General features: G+C 39.6%; 2 protein-coding genes and 1 pseudogene across 6 annotated transcripts in view; 2 read left to right on the forward strand and 1 right to left on the reverse strand.

Annotated features, from left to right (window-relative positions):
- Positions 1-17,887, forward strand: part of PDE12 (phosphodiesterase 12) — a 100,222-nt gene that overhangs the window by 61,654 nt on the left and 20,681 nt on the right. The window lies entirely within an intron of this gene.
- RNU6ATAC26P (RNA, U6atac small nuclear 26, pseudogene) lies at positions 1,521-1,641 on the forward strand (annotated as a pseudogene).
- Positions 7,527-17,887, reverse strand: part of DENND6A (DENN domain containing 6A) — a 67,624-nt gene continuing 57,263 nt past the window's right edge. For 3 of the 5 annotated variants that reach the window (XM_006713019.4, NM_152678.3, XM_047447670.1), the window contains 8 exons: positions 16,777-16,842; positions 16,631-16,695; positions 15,338-15,427; positions 12,998-13,051; positions 12,788-12,897; positions 12,494-12,596; positions 10,884-10,958; positions 7,527-10,418 (listed from right to left, as the gene is read on the reverse strand). In XM_006713019.4, coding sequence (XP_006713082.1) covers positions 10,287-10,418; positions 10,884-10,958; positions 12,494-12,596; positions 12,788-12,897; positions 12,998-13,051; positions 15,338-15,427; positions 16,631-16,695; positions 16,777-16,842 — 695 coding nt within the window. In that variant the 3' untranslated portion in view covers positions 7,527-10,286. The remainder of the gene's footprint in view (positions 10,419-10,883; positions 10,959-12,493; positions 12,597-12,787; positions 12,898-12,997; positions 13,052-15,337; positions 15,428-16,630; positions 16,696-16,776; positions 16,843-17,887) is intronic. The other 2 variants (XR_007095649.1, XR_245100.2) reach the window with 1 other exon arrangement.

Here is a 17,887-nt window from a genome sequence, read left to right on the forward strand (position 1 = left end):
TACACCAAGGAATACTATATACCCATAAAAAAGAACAAAATCGAGTCCTTCGCAACAAAGTGGATGCAGCTGGAGGCCATTATCCTTAGCAAATTAATGCAGAAACAGAAAACCAAATACTGCAAGTTCTAACCTATAAGTGGGAACTAAACACTGGGTACACACAGACACAAAGATGGGAACAATAAACACTGGAGATTCCAAAAGTGAGGAGGAAGGGAGGGAGGCAACAGTTGAAAAAATACTTATAAGGTACTATGTCCACTACTTCAGCGATGGGATCCTTAGAAGCCCAAATCTCAGCATCACACAATATATCCATGTAACAAACTTGCACATATCCTCTCTGAATCTTAAAGAAATTCTATTGATTTGATAAATGAGGTTAATAACAGGTTTAACATAAATCAATCATATTTACAAATTTAAAAGGCTATACAGTCATCTCAATAGATGCAGATACAAATGCATTTGTTTTATGGTAGATCTTTTTTGTTTGTTTGTTTGTTTTTTGAGACAGGGTCTCACTCTGTTGCCCAGGCTTGAGTGCATGGTACGGTGATGGCTCACTGCAGCCTCAACCTCCCAGGCTCAATCAATCCTCCCATCTCAGTCTCCCAAGTAGCTGGGACTACAGGCATGAACCACCATGATCTGCTTAATTTTAGTTTGCTTTTGTGTTTTTTTTTTTTTTTTTTTTGAGATGGAGTTTCGCTCGTTGCCCAGGCTGGAGTGCAATGGCGCGATCTCAGCTCACTGCAACCTCCTCCTCCTGGGTTCAAGCGATTCTCCTGCCTCAGCCTCCTGAGTAGCTGGGATTACAGGCGTGCACCACCACATCTGGCTAATTTTGTATTTTTAGTAGAGACAGGGTTTCACCATGTTGCCCAGGCTAGTCTCAAACTCCTGGGCTCAAGTGATCTGCTTGCCTCAGCCTCCCAAAGTGCTGGGATTACAGGTGTAAGCCACTCCACCTGGCCAACAAATGTGTTTGTCAATATATTTGTTAAATGTATATTAATATACACACTTGTTAAATACATTTAACGAATTAAATAATTTGATAAATACATTTAACAAATTAAATACATTTGTCAAATACTTTATATGTAGCCCATTATTGATAAAAACTCTCAGGCAGGCCGGGTGCAGTGGCTCACGCCTGTAATCCCAGCACTTTGAGAGGCCAAGGTGGGCGGATCATGAGGTCAAGAGATTGAGACCATCTGGCTAACACGGTGAAACCCCGTCTTTACTAAAAATACAAAAAATTAGCCGGGTGTGGTGGCGGGTGCCTGTAGTCCCAGCTACTCGGGAGGCTGAGGCAGGAGAATGGTGTGAACCCAGGAGGCGGAGGTTGCAGTGAGCCGAGATCGTGCCACTGCACTCCAGCCTGGGTGACAGAGCAAGACTCCATCTCAAAAACAAAACAAAACAAAACAAAACAACAACAAAAAAACACCTCTCAGGCAAACTAGAAACAGAAAGGGACTTCATCAACTTGATAAAGAATATCTACATGTTGTATGAAAGGAGAGAAGGTTAGCACTTCCCTTGGCAAGGTTGGAAGAGGCCCTCAGGCCTGACAACATGCATATGGTTAAGGCATTGCCACCTACTTCGTGGCATCTAACCATCGTTACTTTTGCTGGGTGCGGTGGCTCACGCCTGTAATCCCAGCACTTTGGAAGCCAAGGTAGGTGGATCATGAGGTCAGGAGATGGAGACCATCCTAGCAAACATGGTGAAACTCCGTCTCTACTAAAATACAAAAATTAGCTGGGCGTGGTGGTGGGCCTGTAGTCCTAGCTACTCAGGAGGCTGAGGCAGGACAGTTGCTTAAACCCGGGAGGCAGAGGTTGCAGTGAGCCAAGATCACACCACTGCACTCCAGCCCGGGCAACAGAGCAAGACTCTGTCTCAAAAAATAAATAAATAAATCAAATAAAAAATAAAAAAAAGAACATCTATAAAAAACCTACAGCTAGTATCATAATTAGTGATGAAAAATTGAGGCCGGGCATGGTGGCTCACGCCTGTAATCCCAGCACTTTGGGAGGCTGAGGCAGATGGATCACGAGGTCAGGAGTTTGAGACCAGCCTGGCCAAGATGGTAAAACCCCATTTCAACTGAAAATACAAAAATTAGCTGGGCGCAGTGGCGGGCGCCTGTAATCCCAGCTACTCGGGAGGCTGAGGCAGGAGAATCACTTGAACCTGGGAGATGGAGGTTGCAGTGAGCTGAGATCGTGCCACTGCACTCCAGCCTGGGTGACAGAGCAGGACTCCATCTCAAGAAAACAGAAAGAAAAATTTAATGCTTTTAAGATCAGAAACAAAGAGCCGGACAAAGTGGTACATGTCTGTAATCCCAACTACTCAGGAGGCTGAGGCAGGAGGATCATTTGAGCCCAGGAGTTTGAGAGCACCCTCAGCAACATGGCAGAATCCCCTCTCCAAAAAAAAAAAGGTTTTAAAAAAGAAAATTTTTTAAAAAATGAGTATGTCTGCTCTTACCAATGCTATTCAACATTGCATTGGGGATTCTAGCCAGCGCAATCAAAGAAAAATAAATAAAGGTCATCCAGATTGGAAAGAAGAAGTAAAACAGTCTTTATTCACAGATGGCATAGTCTTCTATGTAAAAAATCTGATGGAGTCTTCAAAAAAGGCTACTAGAATAAATGAGTATAGCAAGATTGTAGGATACAAGATCAATATATAAAAACTATATGGACCGTACTACTATTTTGAACTAAATTTTTGAAAAATTGTAAATTTAAATTTTAAAAAAATATCATTTGCAACATCAAAAATATGATACGCTTAGAGATAAATCTGACAGAAGATATGAAAGACATGTTGATAATTACAAAACATTGCTGAGAGAAAGAAAACATACATAAATGGAAAACAAACATACATATACTTTGTTCATGGTTCAGAAGACTTGAAATTATTCAGTTCTCCCTCAAATTTATCTATAAATTCAATGCAATCCCACTCAAAATCCCAGCAGGAATTTGTGTAGAAATTCGTAAGCTGATTTTAGAATTTGTATGGAAATGTAAAGTAATTAAGTAAGCAAAACAGCCTTTAAAAAGGACACAAACTGGAGGGCTAACACCACTCAGTTTCAACAATAAAGCTACAGTAATCAAGCAATGTGGTACTGGCATAAAGATAGACATATACACCATTGGCACAGAATAGGAAGTGTAAAAATAAACCCACATATATATATGGACAACTGAATTCTGACAAAGGTACAACAAAGCCAATGCAACTGATTTTTGGAAATAATAATAATAACCTTTCAACAAATGGTGCTGGGACAATTGGATATTCATATGCAAAAAACAAAAAATCCTTAAATCCATACTTCACATACACATTAAAACTAATTCCAAATAGTTATAAACCTAAATGCAAAACCTAGAACTGTAAAACTGCTAGAAGAGGCTGAGCGCGTTGGCTAACGCCTGTAATCCCAGCACTTTGAGAGGCTGAGGCAGATGGATCACTTGAGGTCAGGAGTTGGAGACCAGCCTGGCCAATATGGTGAAACCCCATCTCTTCTAAAAATACAAAAATTAGCCAGGCGTGGTGGTGCACGCCTGTAATCCCAGCTACTGGGGAGGTTGAGGCAGGAGAATTGCTTGAACCCGGTTGCAGTGAGCTGAGATTGCACCATTGCACTCCAGCCTGGGTGACAGAGCAAGAGTCTGTCTCAAAAATAAAATAAAATAAAAATAATAGAAGAAAACATAGGTCTTTGTGACCTTGGGTAAGAACACAACACTTAAAAGAACAAATTCATAAGTAGAACTAAATCAAAATTAAAAACTGCTTTTCAAAAGACACTTTAAAAAATGAAAAAAAAAAAGTCATAAACTAGGGGTGGGGGGATCTTTGCAATGCATGTATCTGAAAAAGAACTAGTATCAAGAACATATGGAGAGCTCTGGCTGGGCTCAGTGGCTCACGCCTGTAATCCCAGCACTTTGGGAGCCCAAGGTGGGTGGATCGCTTAAGGTCAAGAGTCCAAGAGCAGCCTGGCCAACATGGCGAAACCCCATCTCTACTAAAAATACAAAAATTAGCCAGGCATGCTGGCGGGTGTCTGTAATCCTAGCTACTCGGGAGGCTGAGGCAGGAGAATCACTTGAACCCGGGAGGTGGAGGTTGCGGTGAGCCAAGATAGTGCCACTGTATTCCAGCCTGCGCAACAGAGTGAGACTCTGTCTCAAAAACCAAATCAAACCAAAACCAAAACAAACAAAAAGAACATTATAGAGAACTCTCAAGGCACAACCATAGGAAGTTACATAATAAGCAAAAGGTTTGAGCACTTTACCAAGAAGATACAGAGAAGGCTAATAAGCACATGAAAAGATGCTCAGCATCAAAGGTCATTAGCAAAATGTAAATTAAAATCTCAATAAAGTACCAATACAGTACCTATTAGAATGGCTGACATTAAAAAGGCTGACCATACAAAATGTTAGTTGGGACATGGAACAGCTGGAACTTTCATACAATACTTATAGAAAACAAAATAGTACAACCACTTTGGAACAGTTTGGCAATCTCTTAAAAAGTTAAACATTCACCCACCATATGACCCAGACATCCCCCTCATACCACTCCTAGGTATTTACCCAAGAAAAAAGGAAATATATATCCATCCAAGGACTAGTACATGAGTGTTCACAGCAGCTTTATCTGTAATAGCCAAAAACTAGAAACAATCCAAATGTCTATCAACAGGTAAGTGGGTAAAAAATGTGTTATACCCATATAACAAAATACTACTTACCAATAAAAAGAAATGATCTGCTGATACAGGCAACAACCTGAATGAATCTCAAAATCATAATGCTGAGTCAAAGAAGTCAGACTCCCATCCCCCAAAAAACAGAAAGAGTATATACTGTATGATTCCACTTACATAAAACTCTAGAAAATACAAACTATAGTGACGGAAAACATCTATACTGGTTGTTTGGGGGAGACAGGAGTGCAAATGGGCATAAGGAAATTTTGGGGGTGATGAATATGTTCACTATCTTGGCTGTGATGATGGTTTTATGGGTGTATTCAAATGTGAAAACTTATCAAATTATACACTTTAAATATGTTCAGCTTATTGTATGTCTATTGTACCTCAATAAAGCTGTTTTTAAAAAGTATGATTTGTAGCTGGGAAAGGTGGCTCACACCTGTAATCCCAGCACTTTGGGAGGTGGAGGCGGGAGGACTGCTTGAGTCCAAGGAGTTTCAGACCAGCCTGGGCAACACCGTGAGAACTCATCTCTACAAAACAACAACAAACAAACAAACAAACAAAAAACTGATTTGTTGAGTTCTACCACCAGAGCCTTTGATTATAAAAATATTTACCCATTTCACTAAATGAATGCAATCATTTCAAGTTTCCTACTGAAGTATAAAAATTCATTCACTTACGGCTGGGCGTGGTGGCTCACATCTGTAATCCCAGCACTTTGGGAGGCTGAGGCGGGTGGATCACCTAAGGTCAGGAGTTTGAGACCAACCTGACCAACATGGTGAAACCCCATCTCGACTAAAAGTACAAAAATTAGCTGGGTATGGTGGCGCACGCCTGTAATCCCAGCTACTGGGGAGGCTGAGGCAGGAGAATAGCTTGAACCTGGGAGGTGGAGGTTGCAGTGAGCTGAGATGGCGCCATTGCACTTCAGCCTGGGTGACAGAGCAAGACTCCCTCTCAAAAAAATAAAATCACTCACTTAATAAGAAGTATAACTCTGGAATATAAAGTTACTATTTTCCAAAAATATTTCAGTAAATGTAGAAGCAATTTATACCATAATGTATTCAGACTGGCTGACATGGAAAGGGACAGGCAAAAACATGTAGGATCCATGAAGTCCGGCTTTCTAACAGTTAACACAGAAATAGTATAATGATGACAAGAATGGGGAGGCAAAATAAACAGAACAACACAAGTCTAGTGGTGAAGCTAGTAAAATGGAATGAGGCATGATTATCAAACAACAAAATCTTTTAAAATTTTTTAAAAATATTTTTTCTTTTATAGACAGGGTCTCACTCTGCTGCTCAGGCTGAGTGAAGTGGCATGATCACAGCTCACTGCAGCCTCGAACTCCTGGGCATGCACTATCCTCCCACCTTAGCCTCCCAAGTAGCTGGGACCACAGGCATGTACCACCATGTCTGACTACTTTTTTTTTTTTTTGAGGCGGAGTCTCGCTCTGTCGCCCAGGCTGGAGTGCAGTGGGGCGATCTCGGCTCACTGCAAGCTCCGCCTCCCAGGTTCACACCATTCTCCTGCCTCAGCCTCCCCAGTAGCTACGAATACAGGCGCCCGCCACCACGCCTGGCTAATTTTTTGTATTTTTAGTAGAGACAGGGTTTCACTGTGTTAGCCAGGATGGTCTCGATCTCCTGACCTTGTGATCCACCCATCTCAGCCTCCCAAAGTGCTGGGATTACAGGCGTGAGCCCATGCCCGGCCATCTGACTACTTTTAAAAAACTTTTTTTAGAGATGGGGTCTCAGGTGCAGTGGCTCATGCCTGTAATCCCAGGACTTTGGGAAGCCAAGACAGATCACTTGAGGTCAGGAGTTCGAGACCAGCCTGGCCAACATGGTGAAACCCCGTCTCTACTAAAAATACAAAAATTAGCCAGGTGTGGTGGCACATACTTGTAATCCCAGCTACTTGAGAGGCCGAGGCAGGAGGACGGCTTCAACCTGGGAGGTGGAGATTGCAGTGAGCAGAGATCACACCACTGCACTCCAACCTGGGTGACAGTGCAAGACTCCGTCTCAAGAAAAAAAAAAGAATAATATAATGTAGTTGCTACTTTTAAAAAAGAAGAGGAAGAAGTAAAAATAATTGGGAGATTTGGGTTTTTAAAAAGGTAGCAAATGAAGGAGAATCTAGCAATAATTGAGTTTATTCAACTAAAATAATTATTTTTTTGAGACAGGTCTTGCTCTGTCACCCAGGCGGGAGTGCAGTGGTGTGATTATGGCTCACTGCAGCCTCAATCTCCTAGGCTGAGGCCATCCCCTCACCCACCTGAGCCACCTGAGTAGCTGAGACTGCAGGCATGTGCCACCATGCTCTGCTAATTTTTTGATTTTTTGTAGAGACGGGGTCTCACTTTGTTTGCCTAGGCAGATCTTGAACTCCTGAGCTTAAACGATCCTCCTGCCTCAGCCTCCTGAAGTGCTGAGATTACAGGTATGAGCCACCACATACGACCAATATTTTTACCAGAATATTTCATAAAATCAATGCACTGCTAGGAAAGATATGAAGTCACTTAACTGATCTGTCTAAACAGAACTGTTCACCTGTTCATAGTGAAGTACACAGGGTTTTCATTTGAAGTCCTTAAAAAAACAAACAACCTGGCAGGAAACAAAAGGAATCTCATAATGACGAGTTTCATTAACTATGCATTTTCTCCAAGCAGTCCAACCCCATTCAGAAATAACACAAAATATCCAAGTGCTTTAAAATCCAAGGCCTTTAATTTAGTTTTTGGTAATGACCATAAATGCCTTCACAAAACCTCTTTTTCACTGTAAATAGAAGGCACTAGGCATTACATAATACCCTTAAAGCAGTGATTCCTCCTGATGCTGGTAGAGATAAAACATTTAATGTCAGGGTTTACATAGTAACAAATTCTTCTTAAAAAAAAAAAGACAAATCTAAAAATCACGCACCAAAAATTATCAGTCACTCTTTCCCAGGTTCCCAGTGCAAATTTACATCATTTTTACAAGTACATAGTTTGAAATTAAGAGATAAACTAGGTATGATATGGTTTTCAACATGTGTTAGGTTTCAGTTAAATACAGTAAAAATGAAGACACCATTATCATGCTAATTGGCATCTTTTGCTACTGTTTAGCTGTGCAAAATAGACTTGAAATGATACATCCTGTAGTGGCATAATTTAAAAGATCCTTGATATGACACCAACAACTTACAAATTCTGGTCACAAACTGTATATAAATTGTACAATTATTAAAATATACCTTTTTGAAAAATAATAAGATGACCATTTATACCTAAATAAGGTTTCCCAGAAAGTTATGAAATACTTTTAGCATATAAAAGTAGTTGCTCCTTTTCTGAAAAGTCAGCTGTTGTTTCACAAAATAACTCATATGATCCAAGGCAAACGATTTCTTTCAAATGCCATATTCTCTCTATGACTTTGAGGTATGCTTCAAGAGACTGTATCCATAAGAACAGGGCACATTTGGGTATTAGACCACAGTTACAAACGCAAGGAGTCTTTCTTGGGTCAGGAATGCCCTTAAGAGTTATATCGACAGAGAACAAAAGATAGCTTCTGAAGCCATATCCTTTACAAATACATACAACTAAATTTGGTTATTTAGAGGATAATTCAAGACACAGCTATTAACCACATGCTGTGTCATGTGTGCCTATTTTAGTTAGTGGCTTCTGGCCAGGTGCGGTGGCTCACACCTGTAATCCCAGCACTTTGGGAGGCCGAGGCGGGCGGATCACCTGAGGTCGGGAGTTTGAGACCAGCCTGACCAACATGGAGAAACCCCATCTCTACTAAAAATACAAAATTAGCCAGGCGTGGTGGCACATACCTGTAATCCCAGCTACTCAGGAGGCTGAGGCAGGACAATCACTTGCACCCGGGAGGTGGAGGTTGCAGTCAGCCGAGATTGCGCCATTGCACTCCAGCCTGGGCAACAAGAGCAAAACTCCATCTCAAAAAAAAAAAAAGTGGCTTCTGTAGGATACTCTTATTCAAACACAAACCAAACAACCCTACTCTACCAAATCACATTCTTCTATTTTTGGCAAGGTAGTATTGTTTAAACAAAACAGAAACAAAAACAACAACAACAAAAGCTAACCATGACAGTGACTCAGGCGAAAGTTCCCATGTCAAACAATAGTAGGAAAAGTGTTTTAAGAAACATTAATGTTGGGAAAAATAAAACGCTACCAAACAAATAATGCCAGAAATCAATCTTATCATCACTCAAATAAGTATCACATAAAAAACTCATGAATGCCTTTGAAATAAGAATAGTTCAGTTTAAAAAAATAGCTGATTATGAGATTTATAATTAAAATGTCTTTGAAAAGCAGCCAAGTTCATTAGTTTAAACATTTAATAATATTTAAATTAGTATTTATTTAATTTTTTATTTTTGTTGAGACACAGTCTCACTGTGTCACCCAAGCTGGAGTCCAGGGGTGTAATCTCAGCTCACTGCAACCTCCGCCTCCCAGGTTCAAGTGATTCTCACATCTCAGCCTCCCAAGTAGCTGGGATTACAGGCGCGTGCCACCATGCCTGGCTAATTTTTGTATTTTTACTAGAGACGGGGTTTCACCATGTTGGCCAGGCTGGTCTTGGACTCTCGACCTTAAGTGACCTGTCCACCTTGGCCTCCCAAAGTGCTAGGATTACAGGCGTGAGCCACCACACCCAGCCTAATGTTTAAATTAGTAAAGGGTAAGAGAAAATAAACTCTTCCATCATTAATACTAGATGCCTTCTTGTCTTTGGAGAAACTGGTAACATTAAATTTTGAAAATGGAAGGGAAAATAATGAAAATCTATATGACAACTGAAAAAAACCCATCATGTCTATTAATAAACACAATGGGTAGCAAGAAACTTTTTTTTTAAACAATGATCACTCAACAGAATACCTTATAAAATTACGTATCATAATGAAGCTAAGGAAAAGCTTCAAGACTAGCAGCTGAACTGTGAAACATGTAGGACAACAGAAGGCACTACATAAGCATCAATTCCTTCTAACCATAGGACAGTTCAGTCTTTCTGTTCTTAAGAAGATAGCCAGTGTGAATGTTATTTTTATATCCCCCTGAGTTTTAACATGATTGGGCAAAGCAGCACCAATTTAAAAAAATATCTGCAATGCCAGCACTGCAGTATGAAATCACTAATACTGATGGCCCACAAGTCTCTCATAAGAGCACTTTAGAACATGATTAAAAATATAGAAATGCCTTTCGGTGTTTCAGTATTAAAGTGGAACCACCACAGATATCCACTTTAAAAAGTAATGCACTAAAAAGGTCTGTTTATACAATACAGTCTTTCTACCCTGTAACTAGCATTCATGGCAATTTTCCACTCCGCTGCCACTGAGAGATCTCCTTTGTGCGTCTGGTTGAAATGTCAGTATGCTTCATGATGCATAATCCTTTTTGGCTGGAAAATCTTGGCAAATATCATGTCATGCCCGTTTTGAGCAGTATGCCTTGCAAGTCCTCTGGCAATGCTAAGATAATGGCATCTATGTGTGTCCGTAACTTTTCCATAGTGTCAGGTTTCACAGGTAAGTGCTCTCGATCAGCCTGCAACTACATAAGGAACATTTCATAACATTTAAATTATCCTCAGAATCTGTATTAATACATTACATTCTCTAAATAAACCATTTTAAAGGTCTAACAATTAGATACTTTCAGTCTTAGACCAGAAATTACAGAAACTAAAAAAGCAAGGAGCATTCTATTTAAACAATTCGTTATTGAGCTCAATAAAAGGCTTCTATGTAAATTCATAATAATACCTAGAAATATAAGTGACAATGTTTTTATAGAGCTTATTAGATTCTATATACATAACGTTAGAATAATATGGCATCATTATGGTCTGTTTCAGTGACCAAGTATTTTCAGCAGTATCTACCATCAATTGACCAATTTCAAGCCCTCTCATTTAAAAAGTTACTTCTGCGAACTATCATGGGTTGTCAGCTCACATGAGAGGACAATGTCTTCAAAGAAAAGTCAATTTAATCTTTGGCTGTTTTGGCTACATACCAGCTTATTTTTCAGCTTCAAGACAAGGTCTACTGTTTCTACTTCTGTGTGTTTCTGGATCCAGAGAAGTAAGTCCTAGAATAAATAAAGTCCCAAATCAGTAAGTTCTCAAAATAATATTCAAACCTCTCTATTTCAATAGGTAAGGCTACTGTGAAGGAAAGACAAGAAGGAAAAGGAGAACAAAGTATTTAACCCAGATATAGCATTATAGTGCAAGAATAATTCTCATAATATTCTAATAACTGTTAGATAATTTTCTGCATTAGCCAGAATAATTGTCTCATATTTGGAAGTAAAACAAAATGTACTGAGGTGGCTTTTTTAGATCAAGCAAGAAAAACAAAATTGCAGCTCAAACTGTAACAGTAACCCCCACTTCCACTAAGTAGTGACTAATTTATAAGGAACATTAGTTAACAAATCAAGAGAACTGAACATGAATTTACTACTGGATGTACACTTCGTGTTTTCGGATATGCTCTTCCTGGGCTTATGTTGCAGGTGCATTCATCATATTCCTTTTCTCAAAGCCACAGTGACTGGGAGTTTATGAGTAGAAAGTTAACACTGAGGTTAGCACACCTCACATTTAAAGCTAAATATAAATGAAAGTGAGACTATTCCTTTTATTTTCACAAGTAGTTTAATTTAAAATAGGCTGGTAATACAGAACATAAAAAAAAAATCAGTCCGCTTTTTTTTTTTTTTTTTTTTTTGAGACGGAGTCTCGCTCTGTCGCCCAGGCTGGAGCACAGTGGCGCGATCTCAGCTCACTGCAAGCTCCGCCTCCCGGGTTCACGCCATTCTCCTGCCTCAGCCTCCCGAGTAGCTGGGACTACAGGCGCCTGCCACCACGCCCGGCTAATTTTTTTTTTTTTTTTTGTATTTTCAGTAGAGATGGGGTTTCACCGTGTTAGCCAGGATGGTCTCCATCTCCTGACCTCGTGATCCACCCACCTCAGCCTCCCAAAGTGCTGGGATTACAGGCGTGAGCCACTGCACCCGGCCAGTCCACATTTCTAAAAGTGTTAATACTAACTAAAAAAGGTAAATACATCATACAGAAAAAGATGTGGAGTTAGGCTTCTTGGATTAGAATCCTTACTCTACCCAGTAATGTGCTGGTAAATATTTAACAAGTGGTTCTCCAAAAGAGGTCTCTGGTTTGTAGCATTTGCCAATTTCTGTGGTGTAGTACTCCCACTGTAGGCTATTTCAAGCTGCCAACCTGAGGTTACTGAATACAGAGCTGAGAAGAGATGTGCACATTTGGCTCTTGTGAGCCAATGCAAGTGGACTCCAGCACACTGTTGGCTCCACTACTTAGCAGGGATGTGATCTGAGGCAAGTCATTTAACTTCTAAGCCAAAAGTTTCCCATGATGCAGTTCATAACACACCTACCTCAAAGAATCATTGTAAAGATTAAAAGAGATTATCTATATAAAGCCCCTATAATGTCCTTGGCACATAGCACATGATCTAGAAAAGTTAGTCATCATTACTATTTATAAAGAGTGGATAAAGGGTACAATCTTCAACTTCTAAGCATAATTATCTTTATTTTCAACAGTTGTTAATCATTACACAAACACACAGTTTTCGAACCTCTTCACAAAGAGCTTCTAGATGGAGTGCCTCCAATTTTTGGGTCATTTCCTTCCTCCGGGTCTTAAACCAGCCATCAAAATTTGGAGACTTTAGGAAATGCCTATAAAAATACATTTTAAAAAAGTAAAGTTTGATTATAACTTATTTCCTTTCCTCAATACCTTTCCTAGTCAGAGAACCATGTCAAACTTTAGTAGAATTTTTTAAAAAGAATAAGCTTAAGTTTAGCTTTTTGTTTTGCTTTTAAATAAAGCACGACACATGGGTGTAAAACAGGGAAAAAAGACTAACCGGTAAAGTCCAATCCAATCGCCTTTTATTCTAGAGGTTAGCTGAGGTCCTGTTTTCTCAAGTGTTTTCATAAATTCTTCTGGAAGAAACTGTCTTAATTGAGGTGGACTCTAGAAAACAGGACATATAATATTTAGAAATTAGGAGTGGATATGTTCACAGAAGTTAATTACAGTTAGAGGACCCAAATAGATTTGAATATATTCATACCTTCCATGGGGAAATACTTTTCTGCAAAGGCATCAAGCTTGCCACATATCTTTCCTAAAACCAAGAAAAAAGTTAATAAAAGGAGTGTCTTCAAAAATATTTAAACAGACCTACTTAAAAGGAATGGGTCTTTTAAGTTTTTAATCATATGCCCTTTCAATGGACAGCAACAACTCCATCACTCCCCACAAGAGATATAGCTAAATTTAGACTGACTTGGGAAGTCAGATTTCAAATAAAAATTCAACTAAATCTTAGATAAACCAAGGGGACTACATTTTTTCTTTTTTGAGACAGAGCCTTGTTCTGTTGCGCAGGCTGGAGTGCAATGGCATGATCTCGGCTCACTACAACCTCTGCCCCCCGGGTTCAAGCGATTCTCCCGCCTCAGTCTCCCAAGCAGCTGGGATTACAGGCGTGCGCCACCACGCCTGGCTAATTTTGTATTTTTAGTAGAGATGGGGTTTTACCATGTTGGTCAGGCTGGTCTCGAACTCCTGACCTCATGATCCACCTGCCTCAGCCTCCCAAAGTGCTGGGATTACAGGCGTGAACTACCGCGCCCAACAACGCGGTCCATTTTTTAACGATAATAGTTAACCTTACTGAGCAACTATAGGCCAGATAATGCACTCAACATTTTACATGCATGATCTCTTGTAATCCTTGGAATGATCCTATGTGGTAGGTATTATTAGGAAACTGAGGCTTCTTCAAAAGGCTAAATAACCTGACCAAGGTAATACAATTTAGACTTGAAATGAGGTCTACTTGACTTTGGTCTCTGCTCTCTTTTTTTTTTTTTTTTTTTTTTTTGAGACGGAGTCTCACTCTTTCGCCCAAGCTGGACTGCAGTGGCGCTATCCCGGCTCACTGCAAGCTCTGCCTCTTGGGTTCATGCCATTCTCCTGCCTCAGCCTCCCGAGTAGCTGGGATTACAGGCGCCCACCACCACGCCCGGCTAATTTTTTGTATTTTTAGTAGAGACGGGGTTTCACCGTGTTAGCCAGGATGGTCTTGATCTCCTGACCTCGTGATCCGCCCGCCTCGGCCTCCCAAAGTGCTGGGATTACAGGCGTGAGCCACCGCGCCCGGCCTTTTTTTTTTTTTTTTTGAGACGGAGTCTCACTCTTTCGCCCAGGCTGAGTGCAGTGGCGCGATCTCAGCTCACTGCAACCTCCGCCTCCCGGGTTCAAGTGATTCTCCTGCCTCAGCCTCTAGAGCAGCTGGGACTACAGGTGCGTGCCACCATGCCTGGCCAATTTTTTGTATTTTTAGTAGAGACGAGACGGGGTTTCACCGTGTTAGCCAGGATGGTCTCGATCTCCTGACCTCGTGATCTGCCCGCCTCAGTCTCCAAAAGTGCTGGGATTACAGACGTGAGCCACCACGCCCAGTCCATGCTCTTTTTTTTTTTAAGAGAGTCTTGCTGTTGCCCAGGATGGAGTGCAGTCGTGCAATCACAGCCTACTGTAGTCTCAAAGTCCTGGCCTTAAGCAATCCTCTTACCTTCGCCTCCCAAAGTGGCAGGCCTGAGCCACTGTGCCCAGCCTAGTCCATGCTCATAAGCACTACAGTAAAGTTTATTTATTCAAACAAATAGATTTAATGGAATAAATAACTTGACACCCAAAGACCAAGAAATAATATTTCTTTCTAAAATATAACAGCAAAGATCTCCAGGATGCCCTATATAATGTTCATAGATATATTACTTTATATTAATAACTGCAAAAAGTTTCTCTATGATGCAGTTTCCAGAGCAGGGCCACATCATGGTACTCCCTATACTTTAATATGACATCCTTCTGAATTTCTTACAATAACCACATTGTCTAGTCATTTATTCCATAAATATTTGAGTGCTACCATATGCCAGTCTGACGAATTAATAACAAGCAAGACAGATATAGTCCCTGTTATCATAGAGCTACAGCCTCATAGACATTATATCAAATTGTATTCAAGATAAGTATCAGAAAGAAGCTCTACTATAATCTTCTTTTAAGGTGAAAAATGTAGTAACTACATAACATTTCATATAAAGTATATCATTTAAGATTCACAACAGTCTTGAAAAGGTACTTAGGAAAGTGGAATCAGCCATATTTCACAGGTGAGAAAATTGAGGGTCAGAGAGAGGGAGTGACTTACCAAAGTTGAACAGTTAACACTAGAACAGATAATCCAGGTCTCTTGCAAAGGGGTTTATTTTTAATCACTAAATATACCAGGCTGGCAAAACACACAACTTAAGATATGGTTTTGGAGGGCGGGAAAAACATTTATATACCCTTCACCAAATCATTAAATTATGCAAAAATTTATTTATTAACTTACTAATGGAATGATGAAACTTTGTGTCAGTTCCAAAAAATAGCGTCGAAGAATAACACTTTGAGCCTCAGAAGGACGTTTCTGTTGTACACCCTTAAAAGAGGAAATAATGAGAATCTGTATTCTAGTGTTGGAATATAAAACAATGGATAACTATCAGATTCAATTGCTATGTAAATATACATTTATACTTGATATTTAAAAAACTAGAACTTCACCTTGAAGTAATTTAATGTGAAGTTCATTGTGCAATATCCTGTGAAAATAATCTTTACCGGAGCAAAACATAAGAGTTCTTAGCTTAGGGAATACTGTTCATCCCATACTGTGAAAATGTGAGTTCACGGCTGGGCACCGTGGCTCACGTCTGTAATCCCAACACTTTGGGAAGGTGAGGTGGGTGGATTACCTGAGGTCAGGGGCTCAGGACCAGCCTGGCCATCATGGTGAAACCCCGTCTCTACTAAAAAATACAAAAATTAGCTGGGTGTGGTGGCGGGCACCTGTAATCCCAGCTACTTGGAAGGCTGAGACAGAAGAATTGCTTGAACCTGGGGAGGTGGAGGCTGCAGTGAGCCGAGATTGTGCTATTGCACTCCAGCCTGGGCAACAAGAGCGAAACTCCATCTCAAAAAAAAAAAAGTGAGTTCACTATAAAGACAATCTTTATTTTATATTTGCTATACTATACTATTTACATTAAAAAAAATGGTAACAGTCCCCTACTGTTAGATGCTATCATGGTAGAATCTATGGCTTTTTCACTATAATTTCCAAGTTTCTAGAAAGACTGACACTCATGTGTAGCTACAGCCCCAAATTCATGCCCATACTGTTGCTAACTTAGTCTCCTGATTTTCATAAAACTTTGAATCAAAAAAGAGACCCTGGCAGGGCACGGTGGCTGACGCCTGTAATCCCAGGACTTTGGGAGACCGAGGTGGGCGTATCACTTAAGGCCAGGAGTTCGAGACCAGCCTGGCCAACATGGTGAAACCCCGTCTCTACTAAAAACACAGAAATTAGCCAGGCATGATGGTGCACACCTGTAATTCCAGCTGCTCAGGAGGCTGAGGCATGAGAATCACTTGAACCCGGGAGGTGGAGGTTGCAGTGAGCTGAGATCACATCACTGCACTCCAGCCTGGGTGATAGAGTGAGACTCTGTCTCCCAAAAAAAAAAAAAAAAAGGAGAGATCCTATTTCACATTAGTATACATAAAGGACATATTGCGTAACTGGATATTACATACCTGAACAAGGAAATTTAAATTAATAATATGAGCAACTAATTACCTTCTGTAATTGTTTTATGATCTCTTCATCTCTATTTAAATATGGCTTATATGAAGTATAAACTCCTAAGAGCAAAGAAAAGAAGGTAAACAAAAAAACCCAAGTACCATATAAATATATATTTAAAAATCAATAAAAGTCAATACCAGGTTTGGAATCCAGAGTCTTTAGATTCTTCAGTTTTTTCACTTTAACCTGCTTAGGAATTTCACCTGAAGGAAGCAGCATAAAGATTTTTATAATTATTCTAATCATACATATTACAAAATTGGAACTTTATAAGATTTATAATCTGTTTATTACTTAAGTATGTTATAATGAAAGGATTCTTAACATCTATTAATATGTTAAGGGTTCATTCTTGGTATTTTAAAACTGGATAACAAGAATACTGGATTACTACAACAGTACAGAAATAATTCATGTAAATTATATAAAATGGATATTTGATCTTTCATTAATATCTATCATTACTTAAATTTTTCCCTTTTTGTCACTCAACCTGTAATTTAAAATCTATATGCCAAATACATAAAACTGAAAATTTAGATGCTGAATAGGAATAAAATACCCTTTAAGTATAAATGGAATAGAGAGCAATTCTTAAATGACTATGCAGATGTAGTCTTCAAGGGTTTGTGGGGTTTTGTTTTGTTTTGTTTTGTTTTGTTTTTGATGCCTCCTCAAATTCAGCTTTTCCATTATAGAAACTTACACTGCCAGCAAGTGGTGATGGTGTGTGCAGCAACCACAGGTCTGAGCCACAGATGGACAGGACTCCTGAGCAGGCTGCTATGTTGAATAGCTTGTGTAGTATATGCAGGCCCTGGTCTTAGGGTCAAAGAAAGCTAACACCTAAACAACCCTTATAACAGACAGAAAAATACCTCAAGATACACTTAAAAGTGTCATGAACAAACCTAATTTCAAAGATTTTCTCCACCCTCCCTCTTCTCTGCATAAGGGTTAAAAGAACCTAAGAACTGAAAGACAATCTAGAGATTATATTATTATAGAGATTATAATATAATTGAAGCCTCTAAATTCACAAAATGCCTTTGTTTAAATAGTTACATAGATCAAACTGCTAATTGTGGTATATCTGGGGGTGAGATTTTAAGAACAAGGAACATTTTCCTTTGCAATCTTATATTGCTAAAAAATTTTAAGAGTATGTATTATGATAAAACAGCTATTTCTATAAACTTTTTACTTTGAAGTACAGTTGAACATTGAACAGCATGGGTTTAAACTGTG

The sequence above is a fragment of the Homo sapiens genome, chromosome 3 (assembly GCF_000001405.40).
Source record: "Homo sapiens chromosome 3, GRCh38.p14 Primary Assembly".
NCBI classification, from domain to species: Eukaryota; Metazoa; Chordata; class Mammalia; order Primates; family Hominidae; genus Homo; species Homo sapiens.